General features: G+C 38.0%; 1 long non-coding RNA gene across 1 annotated transcript in view; it reads right to left on the minus strand.

Annotated features, from left to right (window-relative positions):
- MIR924HG (MIR924 host gene) overlaps positions 1-23,197 on the minus strand; it is a 545,072-nt gene that overhangs the window by 307,340 nt on the left and 214,535 nt on the right. The window contains exon 3 of the long non-coding RNA NR_024391.1: positions 21,195-21,352. This is a non-coding gene — a long non-coding RNA (MIR924 host gene). The remainder of the gene's footprint in view (positions 1-21,194; positions 21,353-23,197) is intronic.

Below are 23,197 nucleotides of genomic sequence, written 5' to 3' on the forward strand. Positions count from 1 at the left end.
AGAGAGTAACAGATCTGGTAATAATATTTCTGAACACTTGTAAAATTGCTGGGTCCCCAGATTTGTTGATAATTTTTGCCTCCTAAAATATTTTCTCATTAGGAAGTTGCTATAATTGGATTTACATGAGAAGGACCCCTGGGTATATTCTTGGGACAGCAAAAAAGACAAGAGGGAGGAAGGAAGTATCACCCCTGTCATCTGAAATGAGCAGAAAGAAGCCCATATGGAATGAATGAGTGGTAGCAGCTACGTGAAATAGGGAATTAACTCCATAACAAATTACACTCATTGCCCTATCTTAGGCTTTTTTGTGCTAAGCATTTTTACTTTCACCTCATTTAATCTTTAGAGTGATTTTGTTTTACACATGAGAAAACTATGGGTCAAAAAGCTTATGCATTATTCCTGGGTAGAAAGAGGTAGGATCAGGAAGTGAGCTCCGCCTTGGGACTTTTAAAGGGAGTAATGTACTGATGACAGTGGGCTCTGCAACAGAAAACCACCCCTGGGGTCTTGTCTCAGGAGATGGAATGTGGATTCCCTAATGAAGACTTCCCATAACAAGGTTTAGCTTTAAAAAGAACATCCACTTTATTTAATATGGGGGTATAATTCTTCAGTCTACAGGATTGGGTTGTCCTCTTCACTTTGCACACAGAGCAGAGGCACTGTGATTAGCTTGAACAAAGGTGGAGATTTGTGATTAACCCACAAAGAACCCTTAAGTAGCCAGAATTGACATTCTTTGGAGGTTTTCCCTCTCTTGATTTTACTACCTGATGCCATCTACAGCTTGAACTGAGTTAAATTAGAACCACTTTTTCACTCAGTATAGTATTTGTTCATTTTTAATTGATTCTTACGCTTCAAGGGCTGGGTCCCAGATGCGTCCCTTACTGACTTTACTAGTTATTTCACTCAGGCAGTCCTTACATGGTCTTTGGGGACTGTGATTAGGCTGAGAAAAGCTGAATTAATTTACTTTTTATACAGATACACACTGATTGGGATGGAAGCAGAAAAACTTGAGAAATAAACCAATGGGATAGGTCAAAGAATTTAATCTTAGATAATCTCTCCCAAACCAGCAGCCTGATTCTCTTTCCTCTGCTTGGTGGAGTATGATGCAAAAACTATGAATTCTGTTTTCAAAGGAACATTAAAGGCTAAGCAAATATCTGTAATATACACATAAATAAAATAAGCATAGTGCTTTGTTCTTTTGTGTTGGTCAGAAAATACACATATGCATACAAATGAGTATGCATACCATAGTTGTGTGCCATATTGAAAGTATAAGACTTCACTAATCCGTGTGTTCTCCTTGCATATAGAATGAAAGCAAAAATAAGTATCCCCTCATTCCTTCTAGCACCGTAATTATCCAGATGTCCATTCTACATCCTGATTCCTCAGAGACGTATTTGTTAGCCAGTTGTCATAATTGAAAATATCTGCAAATGTATTTTATGTTACAATTCTAAAGAATAGTAACGGAAAGTGCTCCCCTTTTAAGTGAGCACCTGAGGTCTTAGCCATGCCGGAGTTAGTGATAGGAATCTCTCTTAATCACAAGAAAAGGAGAGCTGACTAGGAAATAGGGAATACTAACTCCAGTTCCCCCTCTTTCCCCAGCCAGATCCACAAACTCTAGCAGCCATTCATTTCTGTAGGTAAAGAAAGAGAAAATTAAAGTAAATAATCTCTTAGATCTCTTCCAAAAATGTCATTCTATCAATCCATGTTTCCAAAATCAGACATTTCAAATACAGTGTTAGGACAGTAGAGGTGATAATTTTCACCAGCATCTCTCGAAAATAACCATTCATGGAAAGTTATAAAGCCTTTGTGGCATGTCTGCTTGCTGTATGGTATGTACTTCATCTAACAGTCAGATAGATAGATAGATTTTTTTTTTTTTTTTTAGACAGTGTCTTGTTCTGTCACCCAGGCTGGAGTGCAGTGGTGTGATCTCAGCTCACTGCAACCTCTGCCTTCCGGGTTCAAGCAATTCTCCTGCCTCAGCCTCCAGAGTACCTGGGATTACAGGTGCCCACCACGACACCCTACTAATTTTTTGTATTTTTAATAGAGACAGGGTTTCACCATATTGGCCAGGCTGATTTCGAACTCTTGATCTCAAGTGATTCACCTGCTTTGGCCTCCCAAAGTGCTAGGGTTACAGACATGGGCCACCACACCTAATCAGTAGATAGATAGGAATTTAAATGCTAACTTTCTCCTACTACTTTCAATAAATGGATATATGGCTTTCAATATTCTAATCACAAACACCTAGCTGCCAAATAAAGCCAGGTGTCCAGTCAATGCAGATTAATCTGTGTGTTATATACAGATGTGTGTGTCTTCTCCCTCTGCATGAGCTCACTATGAGAAATTTATTTAACCTTTAGTTTCAAGTTTGATGAACCTGTGGTGAAACTACTTTTCCTTTCCACAGAATGGTTTATAATAACAACAAAACAAGGGGAAATATTAGAATTGACAAAGATTAATTTCTTCTTACTCTCCCTGCTGAGAATCTAAAATGACAGTTGTCACTTTATAAAGCTGTGACTTCACTGCCATACAGAGGCAGCCCAGGTCATCAACTGTGCCTTTCGTGTTGAGCAGCTGAGCTGCAACAGAAGTTGAACATACACTGAAGAGCACAAATTAAGAGTTAGATATTGTTTGTCACCCAGCAGAGTTCAGACTGGGAAATTTTGAAACCAAAGCCAGGTTCCTATTTTATAGTCAAAACACTCTACATTTTATCTCTTTACTGATATATCCAGCAATTTCTCTGATGTGCCTCAAATCATCTCATCTTTTCTAATGAGAGTGAGAAAGAATACTTTTACCTTTGTTTCCCTGATCCATGCTGTCTCTTAGTGCTAGCAATAGGGAAAAACTGCATAATCATTTTGGAATATCCTGAACCTATTTAAGACGCTTTAATAGTAAATATATATGGATGCTTTAAGCATACAACTTATTTAGCAAAGCAAGAAATAAAAAAAGTCATATCAGTTTCACACATATGTTGGCATATACAATTCAGAGTAACGTTTCCTTTTCCTTCTAAAAACTGATATTTTGGGTGATGTATACACCTACAAAATGGTCCCTAGGTAGCCTGATGTTTTACAGAGAATAGTTTGTGACTTGTTTTCCAGCTGAGAACTTCAGGATATTTATATACAAACACCATGTATTACTGAAACCATGATTCCAATTCAGTAAAATAGCATGAGAAGTTGCTTTTCCCTATTTGATATCAAATCATTGTTCATAGGCCTTTTTACTTCAAACTGATTGTTTCAACTTCATAAATACAAAGAGATATGCTAAGAATTTTCCATGATTTAAAATGTTGGTCGTAGTTCAGAAAAGTGTTAGCCATTACTTGGATAAAGAAAAAATATAGAGCAATTATTATATACAAAAATATTTTCATACAGAATGATGTAAGAAAACTATCTTTCTTGGGGTAATCTGTAATCTAATTCAAATGATCAGACCATTTGGAGTCAGTATGAGGGTTTCAAATATATATAAAATATCAAAACTTAAGAAACTTCTCTAGTAATTATCTTAATATACATGCATAAATATATGACAGAACAAACAATGAATCTGACAATTTAACTTGGGGAATAGAAAGACTCCCTTTGAAAACAAAGACAAAATTCCACTAATTAGTAAAAGTAAGGAATAAGCATCCCGCAAATCATCCTGATGATACTTGCACTACATAGTAAAGAACCAGGAGAGAAAGTCCCACCTGGGATTTTTGAGATCCATGTCTCAAATGTGAAATATGCCAACCTTCCTTAGTTGTTTATTAGTATTATTACAACTGCAAAGGTGTTTAAATATGAAGATGCAAACTGAATTGGATGTCCAAAGTATTATAAATGAACATGAGATTTGCCATCCCAGAAGAGAGGAATGATCTATACTGTTATTATCCTGAAGAAGAAGTCAATTTATATAGCAGTGACAGTACATCCAGCTCTGTACGGTGGGTGGGTGATGCCTGTTTCGGTTCGTGGGCTTCCTGTCTAAATAAGACTGAAAGCAAAAGAGGGCAAAGACAAAAACTAAATTCATCATCAGAGATACAGAATTAGTCTCATCCATTTCACTGATCCAGTTCTATATATCTTTTGTCCAAAGTTATTACCAAGAAATTCTTACAGAAAGAAGAGATACCATCTATTCTCTACCTCAATCCAAGATGTTCCCAGATTTAGCACTGTCTTCCTATATTTCCTAGGATCTCACCCCAATGACTGTGGCTCTTTTATTTCTTCCTTTTCTCGACTTCTTCTGTCATCTAGCTCTGAAGATTATTTCCAAATGCCGATAATATTTATGAATGTCCAATATCTTTTGTAATAGGCAGATACTCCTTCTGGGCTTACAGTGACTGGGGAATAGAATGAGCAGCCATTCTTAAAAGAGAAAGAATGGCATAGCCAGGTGAAGTTATAAATTGTGTGATAAATAAGTGAATGAGTGACAGATGTTGCAGCCCCATCACTAGAAGATTTGGGAACTATTCTTCTTTACTCCTTTCCATAAAGTTTCTCTGTTTATTGTGAAATCTTTAAGCATATAGAGAAGGGAAATGAGAGCTCATCTCAGAGGACAGCACTGTATTCATTCAACAAATCCTTTCAATAAATATTTACTGGTCTCTGAGCTAGGCCTCTGAGGATGGCTAGGCATTTTATCAATGGAGTTAAGTATATATGAGGGCTGTGTAGAATGAAGGATCAAAATGAACACAGGCATTAAGATGAGAAGGGACTTATTTGAAAGCAAAATGCTCAATCAATTTAATTAGAGAAAAAGGTTGATATCGGGCTCTGTCTAGGTCCTGTGCTGTCACGTGACCCTATAAATGTGATATATGTGTGCATACACATGCATACACACTGTATCAGTAAACATGCTCTGGTTAAGAACAGTGATTGTCCTGGTAAATCATTTTTTTAAAGTTTACTCTCTTTGAACTGATAGGCAATTCAGTCTGTAAAAACTAGTTAGGATATAGAAAGCAAAAGAAATAAAATGATAGAAATGAAGAGAAAGACAGATCTGGGAAAGTTCAGAAAAAGGAGAACGGGGAAGTACAGAAACAGAAAGGAGACACAATTCTCCAAACAGCCCTTATTGGAGAATCACCTTTTGCCACTGACTTTACCTGGCCTTTTTTGTGGTCACTCAAGCTTGAGTTAAGTGATTCTTTCAGGGACAAAGGCCTTCTCTCTCCTTCCTCTTGTAAAGCAATTTCAATGTCTCTAACCCAGGTACACATACATGAAGAAATACAATCACAAGGCAAAACGAAAAGAACCATGCTCCTGCTTTTTCTTTGAAAATATTTTTCCTACCAGTGAGTCAAGTTCACATTTTAGTGACATTGCCCCAAAAGCAGGTTAGGAAGCTGGGTCTTCACTGTCTCTACTTTTAGTCCTTCTTCCCAATGCACTCCTGTATTAATTCTGAGCCTGCAACCTGAATGCTTCCTCTGACACTAGAATTACCTGAGCATTCATCTAATGTAAAATCTCCTGCCGGAATGCACATGCACCATTTCTGGCACATACTGGATATTCAATAACGTTCAGTACATAGGTGGGATGGAAAGGAGATGACTCACCAACTACAGTTTCAGGGAGAGCCAAAGGTAGAGAGAAAAAGGTATGAGAAGAGGGCATTTATAACTAAGTCTGGTCAGAATTGGAGATCTGACAAAATTTATTTTTGCTCCTCCTGTTTTACTTTCCTAGCAACCCTTGTCCTCTCTGACTACAACTCATAGAACTTCTAGTGTCCTCAGGCTGCCTGCAACTGTGAGTAGCAAAACCAGCTTAAAGGAATAAATCTCAAATGTCTTGTGCGAAGAAGGTGTAAGTGTCTGTTTATTGTTTATTTGTTTGACATGGGTAGGAGGAAGAATAGGCGGTAGCCTGCAGGCACATGGACTTCAGACTAAAAATCCAGGGTTATAATCCTTGTCCTATCACATCCTAGTCATGTAACTGCTATGGCACTCAATTTCATCTTCTTACCCAATGTATTGGGTGTATTTTTATTAAATGGCCTAATGACTTCAAAGGACAAACACATCTGGCACAAAGTAGCTTATTAAAAATACTCCGGGCGTGGTGGCTCATGCCTGTAATCCTAGCACTTTGGGAGGCCGAGGCGAGTAGATCACCTGAGGTCAGGAGTTCGAGACAAGCCTGGCCAACATGGTGAAACCCTGTCTCTACTAAAAATACAAAAAAATTAGCCGGACGTGGTGGCAGGCACCTGTATGCCTGTATTCCCAGCTACTCTGGAGGCTAAGGCAGGAGAATCTCTTGAACCCGGGAGGCGGAGGTTGCAGTGAGCTGAGATGGCCTGGGCAACAGAGTGAGACTCCGTCTCAAAAAACAAACAAACAAACAAAAACTTACAAAAGCAGCAATGGTCTACTCAGTAAATGTTAATTATCATTCCATGTTTTCCCTTCTCTCTTCTGCTTTTCTTTTCTTAATTTCTTTCTTCTTCCTTGTATATTTGTGGTTCCCATAGTGCTTAGCAAAATGTCTTCTACCATGAGTTTTCAGGAAATATTTAAACTAAATTGAATGAATAAGGGAGTAAATGAACGAGTGGAGAATTAAATTAGTGCTTAATGTCTTATCTCCTCTTCCCCAACCACTTGGGAATCTGTACTCATCTTTTGAAATATCACCAGTCTGACAACTTTCTTGTCTTTTTTAAAAATAAATTATTCTTTTTTGAAAGTAATGTATTGCTTTTAATTCTACATTTCGTTATATCACAGATGATAATACATTGCTCAATCCTCTATGATCTTTAAAAAAGTAAACAACTGATCCTGGTTCTGCTTTTTCAGAGACATGAAATATTACCATTGAAGAACAACTAGGTTTTTAATCAAATAAGTTATTTGGTCATACAGATGGAAGGCCACTGAAAACCAGAAGACAAATGTGGGCAATAAGCATTTAAACAAAACTAACTACATGATGACTACTGTCAATGGAATTCAGCAAGCTTTGATGGTTAATATTAATTCCAATAACATAGCCTTGTGAACAGGTAAGAGGCCCAAAGACCTTGAATGTTGAAAGGAGCTATAGATCTTCAAAGTCAGACACATAAGACAAAAAAAAAAAAGAATAAAAAATACTGATATGCAAGGAAGACCTGAATAATGTAAAACCTTGGTTTGAAGTGGGGGAGGTAGAGGAAGAATTGCAATCATTCTATTTGTAAAACATCCATGGAAAGTATATTTTAGATTTATTTAATAAGTAGTAGATTGCCAGCTCATTTTTTTTTTTTTTTTAAGCCTGAGAGATCATCACAGTGCCAGATGTTAAGGACAAAGACAGAATAGGATCGTGGAAGGTTAAGATTATGAAAGACAAAACTCATTCAATCCTGCAGAAGTCTTTTAGGGGAGAATTTCCTAAGAATTCTAGGGTTTGGTGCAGAGTTTAAAATTCAGAACTGAAGGGAATAATCATGTGGATGTTTTATCTCAAAGAGAAAGGCTAGTGGTACAAAACAGAGCATATTCATTAATGTCATTTCAAATCTTCTTGCTCAATGTTTTGCTAACTAGTATTTCTAAAAGTGGGAAAATAAAGGCTACTTGAGCTTTGAAAGCATTATCAGGGCAATAATTGTAAACTAATGCATGTTTTCATTATACTCATTTCCACTATCTCAGGAGAGTAAAGGGTATGTATTGTGCGGAATGAAATGGGATTCATAGATACTTTTTTGGTTGTTTGTTTTGTTTTAGATGGAGTTTTGCTCTTGTCCCCCAACCTGGAGTACAGTGGCATGATCTTGGCTCACTGCAACCTCCGCCCCCCTGGGTCCAAGCGATTCTCCTGCCTCAGCCTCTTAAGTAGCTGGGATTATAGGCACACACCACCACGCCCAGCTAATTTTGTATTTTTAGTAGAGATGGGGTTTCACCATGTTGGCCAGGCTGGTCTCGAACTCCTGACCTCAGGTAATCTGGCAATCTCAGCCTCCCAAAGTGCTGGGATTACAGGCGTGAGCTACTGCTCTTGGCCCCATAGATACCTTCTGATGAAGATTATTTTTCATTACGATACTTTTTTTTTTTTTTTTGAGATGGAGTCTCCCTCTGTCCCCCAGGCCAGAATGCAGTGGCACGATCTCAGCTCACTGCAAACTCCGTCTCCTGGGTTCATGCCATTCTCCTGCCTCAGCCTCCCGAGTAGCTAGGAACTACAGGCACCCACCACCACACCCAGCTAATTTTTTTGTATTTTTAGTAGAGACGGGGTTTCGCCATGTTAGCCAGGATGGTCTCGATCTCCTGACCTCATGATCCGTCCACCTCGGCCTCCCAAAGTGCTGGAATTACAGGCATGAGCCACCGCGCCTGGCCTAAGATACATTTTTTTAAAGCAGCATGAGCATATTTTCCTTATGAATTTATAACTAGAATTGGTTTAAATTCCCAGAGAATTTCTATTTTAACCTAGGAGGAAAGCAAATGCACACACATAAATACATATATCCACAGCTACATGTGCACCAGTCTTAAACTCAGTCAGCTTCACATACCCAAGAACAACTCCGTTGTTCTCATTAGAAATCCCTGGGACAATACTTCTAAGTATAGAGAATCTCCCAAAAAATATTTTGTGATGTAACGTTTTTCGAGAGCTCACCATATTCTCTTTTCCAGTTAAAGTTTGTAAAATTTAAATATAAATCTGGCTGAACAGATGCAATATTTCATATAATCTTTTATATGATATTTCACACAATACAAAATTTGAGCTTAGTTACCAATGTTATATGTGAAAAATGAGTGGCATAGGTGTTTTTTAAAGGATTTGTGAGTTGTTATGGGTGTTTTGTTTTGTTTTTGCTTGTTTTGTTTTTCTTTGGCCAGAGAAGCACTGACTACATTGGATTTACTTAGGCAGCTCAGTACTAAATATCTACTCATCCCTGATTAAATAAGGTAGTAGGTCTTCACTTTCTCGGAAGCTTCTCTGTAAATTAGATTATATCTAGATGCAACATAAGAAGGGGAAACCCTAATGACCTCTCTCAAAACCAGTTTGAGGCAACATTATTTGCACTTGGCCAGACCTATCACTTTGACACCAACTAGAGAGTGACCTGACCTGATAAAAAGAATGCAGCATGGCAGGACCTGTGACTCACTGGTCAACAGCCCTTACTCAGGACCTGTGACTCACTGGTCAACAGCCCTGATTTAGCTTCATCATCATCCTGCACCTTTTCTAGTCTGGAATTGTGAACATTTATAATCCTAAACTACCTCTTTGAGAGCATATACTCCAGCAAATGTCTGTGTGTCAATGTCCCCTCATCAAGAGGAAATAAGAATGATCTATGTTTTCTTCAAAAACTGGGAAAGATTAATGTCTAATTACCTGTCCATTTTTCTCATTTCTTTACCCCAAAACACATACCTTGACACCTTGTGGGAGTTCTCTTTCTTAGCTTCTAAGTTGGCTGCATTGATATCATTTGCAGTTGAGCAGAAATGGGAAAAATGTGTCTGTGTGGATGGGTCACCAAGGACATGGGGAATTCGGATTAATACAATAGCTACTTTAGGACTTTTCGGGATTCACAGTGGCCTATCAGAAATGCTTGAAAAAATCAGAGGACATAAAATCAGGAGTCCAGATATTGGCATGAAGATCCACAGAAATATAAGAGCTATTAATACCTAGAATGTTACAGACAGGGCTATGAGTATTATTCATTTGTAAAACTGAAACTGGGAAATTTTAAGAAAATTGCCAAAAGTTACATACCTATACATTTTCTCATTTACTATAAATCGATCAATAGATGACAGATAACACCAATGCCATTTACTGTAGAAACATCAAAGAAGAATTTTATATAAATCCTGTTTTTGAGATGCAAATATTAGATACAGCTCAAAGAAAGCTGCGAGAGAGTTCCATCCACCATACTGCAAAAGGAAGACAGTCTGTAGATAAAGTAGAAGACTTCAGAGAGAAAGGACACTGAAGCTGGCATTTTGCAGACACAAGGAGAAGAAATTTTAAAAAGGAGAAGGAAAGGGTGTTGCAGTTTATCTCCCTTTTAGATGCTTCATCTCTAAATATGCACAGGAGAATCTTGGTGAAAACACCTCCCATCAGGCAACTGCATATCTACATGCTCCATGTGACTGCTGTGGCCTATATACCAGCTGGCTATTGACCTGGCCAGAGGTTTCTCCATTCTGACCCAACCTCAGTTTTAGAAAGCCATGTGCATCAGCTTCAGGATGGAATGTTCTCAGCCTGCCTGCCTCACCTCCCTGTGGCAGCCCAACTGCCTTGAATCTGGTAGTTCTTGCATTCTGGTCCAGCCCTTCTCCCCTCCCCTTACTCAGCAGTGGCACACCTTTCTCAATAAAAGACTCAGTTCAAGAAAACTTCTTGCCCCCGCCTGTGGAATGGAGAGATTTCTCTTACCCACCTACCAGTGACAACTTTCACTGCCTGTGCCCTGTGGACAAGTAGTTTCTCTGTCCCTCACCAAAGGGCCTACAGCTTTCACTTCATGGGAGAAAAGGGTCAGAAAGCTCACAGATGTCCTATGCCTGCCCCTCCCTGTGGTGCCATCAGCACTTGCACCATCAGTCAGTTTGCTCAGTCTCCAACTCTCCCCAAAGTTGCTCCTGAGCAACCAGTACAGGCCCCTGGGGAAGACTTTGCAAGTGAGTGAGTACAGATTTCCCTGTCAGACGCCCCCGGCAATTTCTTACTTACTACCCACAATAGGCCTTTGGTGGTGAGGGGTTCTTTAATTTTTGGCATATTCTTATCTGTTTGTTTTGTGGCCTTGAGAAGCCTCTTTCTCCATGCTCTGCCATAGGCGAGAGAGATCACATGCCCTAGCTCTCCTTGGAGAAACTTCTTCCTCTTAGAATTTTAGGTTATTGGGTTGCATTGCCACCCCAATATTCTGCTGGGCTAAAAAAAAAAAGTTGTGGTTTTGTTTTTTATCTGTTTTTTAGGCATTATGATGATTAATATAATGTGGATGTCACCTCCCAGGTTCAGGTGATTCTCTTGCCTCAGCCTCCCAAGTAGCTGGGATTATAGGCAGGCACCATCACAACTGGCTAATTTTTGTGTTTTTAGTAGATATGGGGTTTTACCATGTTGGCCAGGCTAGTCTCGAACTCCTGACCTCAGGCAATCCACCTGCCTTGGCCTCCCAAAGTGCTGGGATTACAGGCATGAGCCACAATGTCTGGCCACTTGATATATTTTCTATATGACTCTTTTGACAGATCTGTTTAATGAAAATGCCTTCTCTCATTCTGTGCCTTGCACTTTTAATCTCTTAAAGATGCCCCTGGATTAATAGAAGTTTTTTTTAATTTAATGAAGTTCAACTTAACATTTTTTTCTGAAGTTGTATTAGATTTTATAGTGTAAATTTTAAAATAACGTATTTGCTTACTACAAGTCACAAATATATTTTCCTGTATTACCGTATTATTTTGTATTGTCTTTTACACTTAGGCCAATGACCTATTTTTAATTGACTTTTGTATATTCTGTGAGGAAAGGGTCCAGATTTATTTTTACACATATAGATATCCAGTTGATTCTGTAATATTCGTGGATATAAACAAAGACCACCAAATAAGAATATATATATATATCAAGAACTTCTATGAATTAAAGAAAAGGCAAGGTGATAAGATTGAGCAAAAGACACCAGCAACCAGCAAAAATTATAAAAGAGGATTTTAAAATGTAATAAGTTTATAAAAAAGTGCTAGACATCATTACCCACCAGGGAAATGCAAATCAAAACCAAGGAGAAATGCTACTACACACCCACTACAATGGCTAACATTTAAAAATAATTTAAAAATCTAACAATATTATTTTTTTGAAATGGATTTGGAGCACCTTGAACACCTACAATACTGGCAGGAATACAAATTGGTAAAGCATTTTTGAAAACTACTGGTATTTATGAATAGTATTGAACATCTGCATACTCTTATGAACAACTTCTAGCTATGCCCCCAACAGAAATGAGGGTGTGGGAAAACAGTCTGTTGCATGGCATGAGTGATGCCATCTTGAAGCAAAACCACAATGATGACTGATGTTTGACCCCCACATACCAAGGTGATCAGGAATAAGGTCTTTAAACCATGCCTGCAGTATAGACTACCCCTCACAAAGATGCTTAGCTAACCTTTCCAGTGAAAGTGGATTTCTTGGCCTCTTTCTTCAGCTTCTCAACTCCCTCAGTCTTTGGAGGTAGGTTTGCACAAACCTGCTTATCATGGAACAGAGTATAAATGTATTGCATAAGACAGGTACAATAAAATTCATAGCAGTTTCATTCAGAAAAGGAAAAAAACTGGAGGTGGGGGAAGAGGGGTGGTGTGTTAAAGAAACATCAGTGGAAGAACAAATATAGTGTGATATATTAATACAGTGAAATAATATACAGTGATTAAAAATGACTAGCATGGTATATATAACAACAAAATGGTTATATCTCACAGATAGTTAATAAAAGCAAGATGTATACATACATCTGATTTTATTTACATAAAGCTCAAGAATGAGTATAACAAAAACTAATCCAGTACAAATGAAGAGAAAAATAGTAGTGAAGAAGAAATACTGAAGGAGATATCTAGTGTGCTGGAAATCTTCAACAGCTTGATATGGATTCTGCTTACACAGGTGACTAGATTTGCACAAATTAATTGAGCTGCACGCTTGAAGTTTCTTCAGTTTACGTGTATAATGACTAATATATGCTAAGAATAAAAGGCTAGACAATCGGAATATTTTTACACTGGTGATGGCTTCAGAAGTCTGGTGACAATAGAAGGGCTGGGAGTTGAGCAGAAACCCCATTTTTAGTGGGCCTGTGGTGATAATGGTGCCAGGAAAGGGTTAGCAGTATTGAGGTCAAGACTATTCTTGTACCATCATGTGCCTGTGTTTTTTCCTGTATAGACTTCTTTAGTTCTTGCTGGTCCTCCAGAATCCCCTTTGATTCTATGAGCTATTTAATATCTCATAATTTCTTTTCTGCCTAAACTTCTAAGAGTTTATTTCTGTTCCTTGCAACAAAATATCTCAATGAAACATGTATCAAAAATGAAATATTGCAAATTACTAGCCCCAAAATATTCAATGGGCTAGCCAGAGAATATAAAATGTAGGAGAGAGAAAATCTCAATATTCCAGTCTGGGATATTTTAAATATTTACTATTTGATAGCATAAACAATGTTTGACTCAGAGCTTTTATGTAGTAGAAGTACATACCAAGCACAACTATCGCCTAGGAAAAAGGAGCAGTATAATGGAATTCTTGTCAGTTTCAGAAAGAAACAAAGGTTTAAGCTTAGTGTGATGTTGGCCATTTTGAAAACAGAGAAAAAAAGAAAAAGAAAAAGAAAACATCATTGTTAATAGAGAGCCACTTATATTGTAAGATCTAACATTTTTGACATCTTCAATCCTTAGAAGGTCCCAAAGGCCTAAATGAGAGTTCTCCTGCTCTAGTCAGATGTGTCCCCAGTCACTGGGAAAAGCTCCCCACTCATCTAGTTCCCCGATCTATCCGATCCACTGCATTCCAGCCAGTCCTCAACCTAATGGGTTTCACCTCCCTGCCAGACCTAAAAATCAGTCAATCAAGCCAATCACATCCTCCCATGGGAATGAGGGGCAGCTCACTTTCTCGTTTCTACAAAGCCTGCCTCCCACACCCCCTTCTGTTTCACTCTGCTCCCAAATGCAGCCCCTATGTGCCCTGCATGGGCAAAGTATAAGTACTTGGCTGACCCCAGAAGTGCAAAGCTGACTGTAAAGCTCACCTTCTTTCCATATCCTAATGTTGGAAGAAGGCTGAAATGGTGAATAATTCATCTTGCAGTGATAAAGAAGGTGGCCTTGTTGGTAAGGGCTTTGTGATGCCCTCTGTGCCCTGCATGGACAAAGCATGTGTGTCCTCCGCTCCCAGGCTGTAGGGTTACGTGACTAATAAACTTTTGCCAGTCTCATTTGACCATTATCATGTGTCACGTGTACTGCTATCTTGTACCATTTAGTGGGGGCCTCATTCTACGACTACAAACAGGACAGCTGAACTCCTCATGAAGATGCAGTCTGGGGACAAGAGGAAATTATCAGTATCTCTGAACCAGAATCTGTCATTGTGAATCACCTAAAGGCAGAGGTCATCATTGTTATAAACACCTTTAAAGTAAGGGCCTTGGAGATGGGCAGAACTTGGAAGTCTTTCACTAAGAGACAAAGATTCCCAGACATGAAAACTCTCTTGATCTATGGCTCTAGCTAAAAGCTCAGTGCCCTAAAGCCAATCAGCGCCTCTACCAGTCCGTTTGGTGTGAAGATATGAAGTCTGAAACTGCTACAGCCACTCTGCCATTATGAAAGTAACCTAACATTAGAGAAGACAAAGCAAAAAGACCAGAAGTAACTGTCTCCTTGGCACCTTTGAGCTACTGAATCAAGCAAATTCTGAAGCCAGCTTTATCCCTGGCCTTCCCACTTATGTGATACCATAAATCCCCTTTCTTATTTAAGTCAATTTGAATATTTTTTTCTATAACTTTTTGCTGCAGATATAAGCCTTCTGGTCAAAGAACCATAAGCAATAGTTTTCTAAACTATTTTTAAAAGTTTATAATTATTATGATATTCCTAGATACCTTAAGATTTAAACCTATACCTCTAAAATAATCAATTATTGGTGGTTTTCATAGAAAGTCTCACAGCTGCAAGATAGGTAAAACACTAAAGAGACTCAGGAATGGCAGTAACAGTAATGGTAGAACGTCAGGAAAATAATGGAGACAGTTAAGGCCTGGAAGAAGTCCAGAAGAATGGTACTTATGCACCATAAAAGTAAGATAAAAATGTTCAAAAATGAGCCCATTGTGATATGGGAGCGGGGAAGGGAAGTGTTGGGTAGAGAAAGGTGGGTCTCTGGCTAGAGCTCCACCCTCGGGCCTGTGCCTATGGACCTAGCTGAGGAAAGGCACTCTTGCCTTTGTAACCAAATGTTTCATTTCCCAAGACCACCCTGGCCTGCCATGCCCCTGTCCTGTGCCTATAAAAACCCCCGAGACCCGAGCAGGTGGACACACAGGCAACTGGATGTCGAGTGGAGCACATCAGCGAGGAATACACAAGCGGCTGGTCGTGGAGAGGAACACACCGACAAGTACCGGCATGTGGCAGGCCAACGACCGGCAGAACTATGCAGAGTTTGGCTGGGGCAGCCCAAGGAGAGCCCAGGCCACTGAGTGGCCCGACTGCAAGGGAAACCTTCCCATTCCATCCCCTTCTGACTTTCCCCATCTGCTGGAAGCTACCTCTACTCAATAAAACCTTGCACTCATTCTCCAAACCCAGATGTGATCTGATTCTTCCGATACACCAAGGCAAGAACCCAGGATACAGACAGCCCTCTGTCCTTGTGACAAAGTAGAGGGTCTAACTGAGTTGGTTAACACAAGCTGCCTATAGACAGCTAAACTAAAAGAGCACCTTGTAACACACGCCCACTGAAGCTTCAGCTGTAAACATTCACCCCTAGACACTGCCGTGGGGCTCCCTGCCCATCTGTATGCTTCCCTAGAGGTTTGAGCAGCGGGGCACTGAAGAAGCGAGCCACACCCCCATCGCACACCCTGCCAGGGTAACAAGGGAACTTTTACCGTCTCACATGTAGGTAGGAAAAACTTGCAGGCATATGTCAGGAAGTAGACTAGAAATCTTTTCAAGAGAACCAGATGGATTCAGAAAGGCTTAGCTATGTTATACTCTGTGAATCTTGGTCAATGTTTCTCAAATTTAATTAAAACCTATTAAGTGGGGGAGAGACCCTTATTCAGAAGGAAGGCAAGGAAGGAAAAAAATCATTAGCAGTAATTATGTTCTTTGAAATTGAAAATCCACCCTTCCACTTCATTGTTATTTCCATTCTCCAGTTTGTGCCTCACCCTATCCCATTTCCAACTTAGCATTCTTTCTATATCCGTAACATTCTGACATGGACTCAGAGAATCACAGCGTGTGTCCCATCCCATCCTACTGGTAGGATGAGTGAATTTGTATACATTGTATAAAATGAGTGAATTGGTATACATTTCATATATATGGCTTGCTTGAACAATGTGAGATACACCCAGGGGAAAAAAAAACACAAACGCTAAAGGAAGGCAACCAGATCCGAAAATGCTTGTGCATAGAGCTACAAGAGTTGCATCAAAAGATTGGGGTGAGTGGCTGGGCCCCAATTCTGATCATTGTTCTCAGGGCTTCCCATCACCTACAGAATAAAATCAAATTCTGTGCACAACACACTAACATGGACATTCAACCTACCTAACTAGCCCACTCTATGGCCATTTATTTTCCTTATACTAGACACTCAGGCAAGGATGAAATACACATACTACCTATAATACACCCCTCCTCATTGTCTGAAAACATTATGTTGTTGTTTTGTTTGTTATACATTTCTATCTAAATTTTACCACCAAAATGCACTTACATGTAACAGTTTTAGTAAAACTTTCCCTGGTATATGCAGACAGCCCTAAATATCACAGCATTCCCCCAATTATTTTTGTATTGCAGCACAATATTTTTGAGTTTCAACTGCTTGCTTATATCCCTGGCCTATGGACAGGAAAGATGTCTTATTTATATTGATTTCTATGGTATCTACATGGTGCTTTGCACATGTTATACCCAAAATAAATATTTGTGGCATAAACGAATGAATGAATGATGCCAGGAAGGCCAGCCTTATGAATTGGTAGCAAAATGTATTGGTTAGCTTTACGTGCACTATAAAATGCTTCTGAAACACAAATAATGTTCCTATATAGATACAGGAAGTTAAGTGTCAGAATAATTATTTTCTTAGTTTAAATGAAGACTTTAACTTTTGTTACATATAAATGTTTCTTGAAAAGGTCCCTCTTTCTTGTGTTTCCAGGCTATTCTAGATTCATCATGATAACAACTAAAGTCCTCTCCTGAGTTTACTTCCTCTTCCCTGACTCCCTTTGATCCAAATATGCTGCCATTAATCAAGGCCTGTGCTCAGGGTTGATGCTGTTGACTAGCTACACTTTTGTAATAAGTTTCTGATAAATTACTGAAAGTTTTTTTAGTGATGGGTACACATACACCCCTGAAAGAGAAAGGAGGGGGATTGAAAAAATTGGGGGAACTGAAATCACAAATTTCAGGTACACTGAAGGCTAATGTACTTGTATAGAAAAGCTTATTAATGGTGGTTTCCCTGGTCCACAATAAATCATGGTAGTTTAACTGGCTAGCTAGATGATGGAAATAAAGAAATTCCACACAGAGAACCTTGCATTTGGGATATAATCAATATCCCCAATGACATAATATCCGACCTTAAAAAAATGACCCAAGTTACTCCAGTTGAACCTTCGCACTTTGACCTCCATTAGTTTCTTTTGTTTGCTTCCGAAGTGGAATAGACACACAGTAAAACCGCTTGATAGGTTTCCATGCAGAGAATGGACGGTGATAGCATCACAAAGCCCTTACCAACAAGGCCACCTTCCTTATCACTGCAAGATGAATTATTCACCATTTCAGCCTTCTTTCAACATTGGGATATGGAAAGAAGGTGAGCTTTACAGTCAGCTTTGCACTTCTGGGGTCAGCCAAGTACTTATCTTCAGAGCAGCAGAGGAACATTAATTTTCCAAGGTCCTCTACTTGATCCTACTGCAATGGAAATCCAACTAGAACCTTATCATCCTAGGAGATCAGCCTTGGAGCTATAAGAGAATGAACTCATCTTGAAAAGAATGATCTCAGGTAGGGAAAGGGAAGAATTTTATTGCCATGAATTTGCAGTTTCAGATATGAAATCCGCCTTTAATTTCTGTGTATCATTTTTACCTTTTAATTGGGACTTTTATCTTTCCCCAGCACTTCAGAAAATAGTAAGTTCAAGGTTTCTCAGTTTCTCTGACTTCATTACCCTAGGATGCTAGTAAGCCCTTAGCCATTCCACTTCACCTCCACTATAGGGTGTATTCAAGGTCCAATGATAAAATTGGCCATATCTGTCTCTCATCTTCCTCTTTGTACTCTTGTTTCACAATTTGGGAGATTCCTTTGTTGGGGCAATTAGTCTGTTAATTTATACCACAAAAAAAATAGATTCTCTGCCTTGTCCTAACCACTCCCACAGAAAACTGACATGTTATCTTAGAATTTCACAAACACGTCTGAGCTCTTTCTAAATACATCAGGTCAATGTCAGAGATGGGGGTTGTATCCAAATACTGAAAAGAAAAAGTGGGAGGAGGAAAGAAGAGGAGAAGGAGAATGCATATGAATCTAATTCTATGTATTTTTTTGTAAAAACTAAACTTGAATTAAATAGCTTTTTCAAGTCACCTTGACCTTATCATGGTCTTAATATGAAATAAAAAGGAATAACTTCAGTCATCCTTTAATATGGGAAGCAATCACATTCATAAAAGGGCTGACACTGAGCGTGCTTAGGCATTTTTCTTGCTTTCCAACCTCTTGCAGTGCATGACAAAAACAACAATGTGATATTTTATTGAGCATTTACTATGTGCCAGGCTCCAACAATACCCAAGTATTAATACTTAGAGTTCCCAGTGATTCTTTTTCTCACACTTACATGATTTTTGTACATCCAGTTTCCTCTCTCTAGAATATGCTTTCCCACTTTTCTTCCTGGGATATTCCTATCCTTTCTTAAAAACTTAGCAAATCAACACATACTTTATAATATTGACCCTCTTAGGCAGACAACAATGCATTTTCCTCTATTAAATTCATTATCTACTGCTATTGTATTATAATCGATAGTGCCACTTTTCTGGCTACAAGATTGACTTTATCCCCAAGACCAAACACATCATAAGGTAAATGAAAAACATTAAATGAATATTTGTTGAATTAGTAGTCTGATGCATGAATCAATTAATGAATAAATCTGCACCAATATATTCTGCACTGTTCTGTTCCAATAAATTACTGCACACAAAGGGGAAAACATTAGGTTCCAGACATAATTTCCAAAGCAGGTAATATCCTTTATATTTTGAGAAGCTCTTGCAAAGACATCCTGCGTTATCTGAATTACAATTTAATATTGATAGTGACAATAATGTTTTTATTGGAAATTTCAAGAATGCTGATATCAATGACTTTGGGTATCAAATACAAAAAATGAAGTAGGATGATGAAGGTTGTTCAAACAGACATGCACCCTGCCACCACACTGAACTGAGACCACGTGTTTCTCCTTCATACTGCACAACATCTTATTACTTCTGTTTCCCACTGACTCCCACCTCTCTCACTCGATAGGGAATTTTCTTTGTTATTTTCACAGGATCTATCAGATATTGTTGGAAATGACACTGTAAGTAAATTAAGTACAGGATAGTATGGGCTGATGAAGTACTGTAATTTAATTTTATTGCATCAGTGGCAACAGTAAAATAAATGCACAGCATAACATGCTGAGATAGTCTATTGATCTTTTCAGTTAATATTGGATGAAAACTCCTAACAAAACATAAAATTACAATATTGTTAGAAAATATATTATTTTTAGCTTTTAATACTACAACAAATTTAGAAGCGTAATTGTTTCATTTTACACACATCTAATATATATGTAGATGGCCAAGAACTGAATTCACACCTGATCAGATCGTATATAATAATAATATATTTATTCCAAGGTTACTTATTATGTTACCTCCAGGGGTAGTCAGACTAAGAGTAGGATAGGGGCCTTAAACATTTACAGTCAAGCAAAAGGATGTCACAAAATCCAGGTACCCAAAGGAACCTCATAGGCCTCCCTCAAAGATAAAGTATATCCTTCTAAGAGCCATACTGAACTTATCATCTTGATTATCTGTTTAACATAGTATACAAAAAAAAGTGAGTTGGATATTAGAGAGAATTATAAGGGAAAGACAGAATTTCCATAATGACAAATGGTGGTTACTTTCTTGAAAGCAGAAAGCATGCTTCAGAAAACATGGTCAAAAAGAAACAAAATGAGCAAAGAAGTCTGACGCCTTTCAATGCAGAGAGGATTGTTTCATGTACCTTAACAACAGTTTTGGACTTTTTTGAAGTGTAGTTTGCCTAGGAAATAACTGATCACAATTCTATTTTTATGGGGAGTCAAAATTGTTTTCAAATGTTTCAAATTTGACCTGAAAATACATCACAACTAGTAATTGATTCTGTTTTCTGTTCTAGTGGTCTTTCACTCCATATTGAAATCACTTTTGCTATTCGACATTTTTTGATTAAATTTAACCAATATATGTTCAGTGCCTACTATGTGCCAGGTGCTGTGATAAGCACTTAAAGAGAGGGAGAGATGAACAGTATATGATTATTATTATTAATAATTAAAAATTTTAGTGAATCACTTCAATTTAAAACTTGGAAATATCTGCCATACCCCTTTTGGGGACATATGAAGAACTAAGGTTATTATAAATCTGAGATGAGGGGATTCAGAATATATCATTACAGAAATAGTGTTGATAACCCTCTAAATCTGTGTATTCTTTATTCATGTGCAAGTTTTCTCATTCTACTTCATATTAATTCTCACAATAAGCCTATAAGCAAAGAAATAGTAATATTCACTCCATTCAGCAGATAAGAATACCTCAAATCAAAGTGGTTATTTCAAGTTTTAACCTCAGACAGTTAGAGGGAGACTCTAGAATAATATAACATACATATATAATAATATCCTGCAAACAACTACAGTGCCTCCTTCAGAGGATTTTTACTTCTGACCATACACCAGGCAGTCTGCATTAGAGAAAACACTTTCTCTTGGATGTATAGAAGAGAACCCTAGAGGTCTGAACACAGGAAGGCATAGAGAGGCCAAAGGAGCTTATTTGATTTCCATCATCCTCCTCACTGTTCTTCCTTACCCTCTCAGATGGTAAGGAATTATATTTTATATATTTATATATATATATGTATAATTTATATAATATAAAATACTCACATGCCCAGAGGAAAAATAGTGAGCCAATATTCTTCTTTGCAACTGGCATAAATCTTAATTCATTCTACACATGTGATGAATACAACTTGCATTGCCTCTTCTGTAAAGGTGCTTTCATTCCAGTAGTACAGGTGGTTTCAACCACATACATAAGGCTCCTGGTGGGGAGGATAAAAACACATATATTAACCATATATCAATATGAAAAAAAATTTAAAAGGTTTAAGGAAGAAACAGCAGATTTAAAGTACTTTAATTTTTCAAGATCTTCTAAGAGGAAATATGGAAAAGCTTCTAGGTGTTTAGGGAAAAAAACCCAGGAAAAATTTAAAAGACCAGAAAGAAGTAATGGTTTTCTAACAGTACATTTTAAATGCTCTCCTTTTTAAAATATCTGAAGGAATTATTCTGTATGTGCAACCAAATATACAATAATATACAATTCCCTTGGGCATTCATTTTATTTCACTACCTTAGCAGCCAATCATGAAAGCAAGCCGACTCTGGCTTTTATTTTTTTCATTCCAAACAGAAGAAAGCAAGCTTCATGAGAATGCAGTGTAATTGGAGAGAAAAATAACTGCAGTATAAGAGAGGGGTTGAAGGGAAAGAGAAGAGGGCTAGAAGAAAAGGGCTTAGCAACTCAGAATGTGGCAAAAATCATTGCACCTGGAAAGAAGGGCATCGGCTAGCTATATCATTGCAAATCTCTGAGAAAAAAACCTTTACTCAGTCATCTTTGGATTGCTTCCAGGTGCTACTGATATATTTTGAATTTAATAGATCAAGGTTAAATATATGCTTGGATGCTGACTTCAGGGTATCTTCCTTCTGATAAAATCAGAAACTATTATTGCTAATTGTCTACTGAATTTCCTAGACGCCCAGGAATGAAAGACCTTAGTAGTCATCTAATTCCACTATACACCATTTTTCAGTAGTTCTATTCTTTCTGACTTTTAGCAGAGTGAAAGGGAAGGAATCCAAGACTTACAAACAGGTGGTGAAAATATGAGTCTCAGCTCCATCTCTGGCAAGCTATATGACCTCTGCCAGGTTATTGAATCAGGCTGGGGCTCGTTTCATTTAAACTAAGGAAAGGATTACATTCTAAATATGCTTGTAAAATGTAATAAACTTAATATCTTTTGAAAATATTCACTTCAATAGTCCTTATAATTGATCCTGGTCAAAAATAAAACAAGAAAACAATTATTCAAGTATTTATATGTTCTTTCACATTCCAATGGAAACCTCATAACACCTACCCAAGCTCCATATCTAAATATGTAACACAAATATTAACACACTTTAAATAAATATATATACACCTATAAATATCACAATAAGCTGGGCAGGCAGCACTTTGGGGGGTCAAAACGGGCTAGAGTTTGAGACTAGTCTGGCCAAGATGATGAAACCCCAACTCTACTAAAAATACAAAAATTAGCTGGATGTGGTGGTGCACGCCTGTAATCCCAGCTACTTGGGAGGCTGAGGCAGGAGAATCACTTGAACTCGGGAGGCAGAGATTGCCCTGAGCCGAGATCATGCCATGGCACTCCAGCCTGGGTGACAGAATGAGATTCTGTCTCAAAAAATAAATAAATATCACAATGGTGCTGATTTATGAAACCACAATTCTATCTAGAACAAAAACATAGCATTGACTTATTGACTCTATGTTGTGGTTCTTCTTCAGTATAAATTACTACTTGACATTGCTTTACTAAGAAAGCAAAGACCCATATACCACCTCATACATCAATTCACAGTATCACACCTACTACATGGAAATAATTTGGGACTCTTTTCATTTGCTTTACCCTTTCAAGTAATTCATTTATGTCAGAATAATAAACTTATTTGTGGATATTTAGTTGTTTTCTTCATTTATAAAATGTTGAGAATTAAGATGTCTTTGTGGCTAGCCATTTTACAATAAATATGGGAGACATCTTCCTGTGTCATGGTTTTCCTTCCGAGGTTACTTAATGATACTG

This window comes from Homo sapiens, chromosome 18, assembly GCF_000001405.40.
Source record: "Homo sapiens chromosome 18, GRCh38.p14 Primary Assembly".
NCBI lineage: Eukaryota > Metazoa > Chordata > Mammalia > Primates > Hominidae > Homo > Homo sapiens.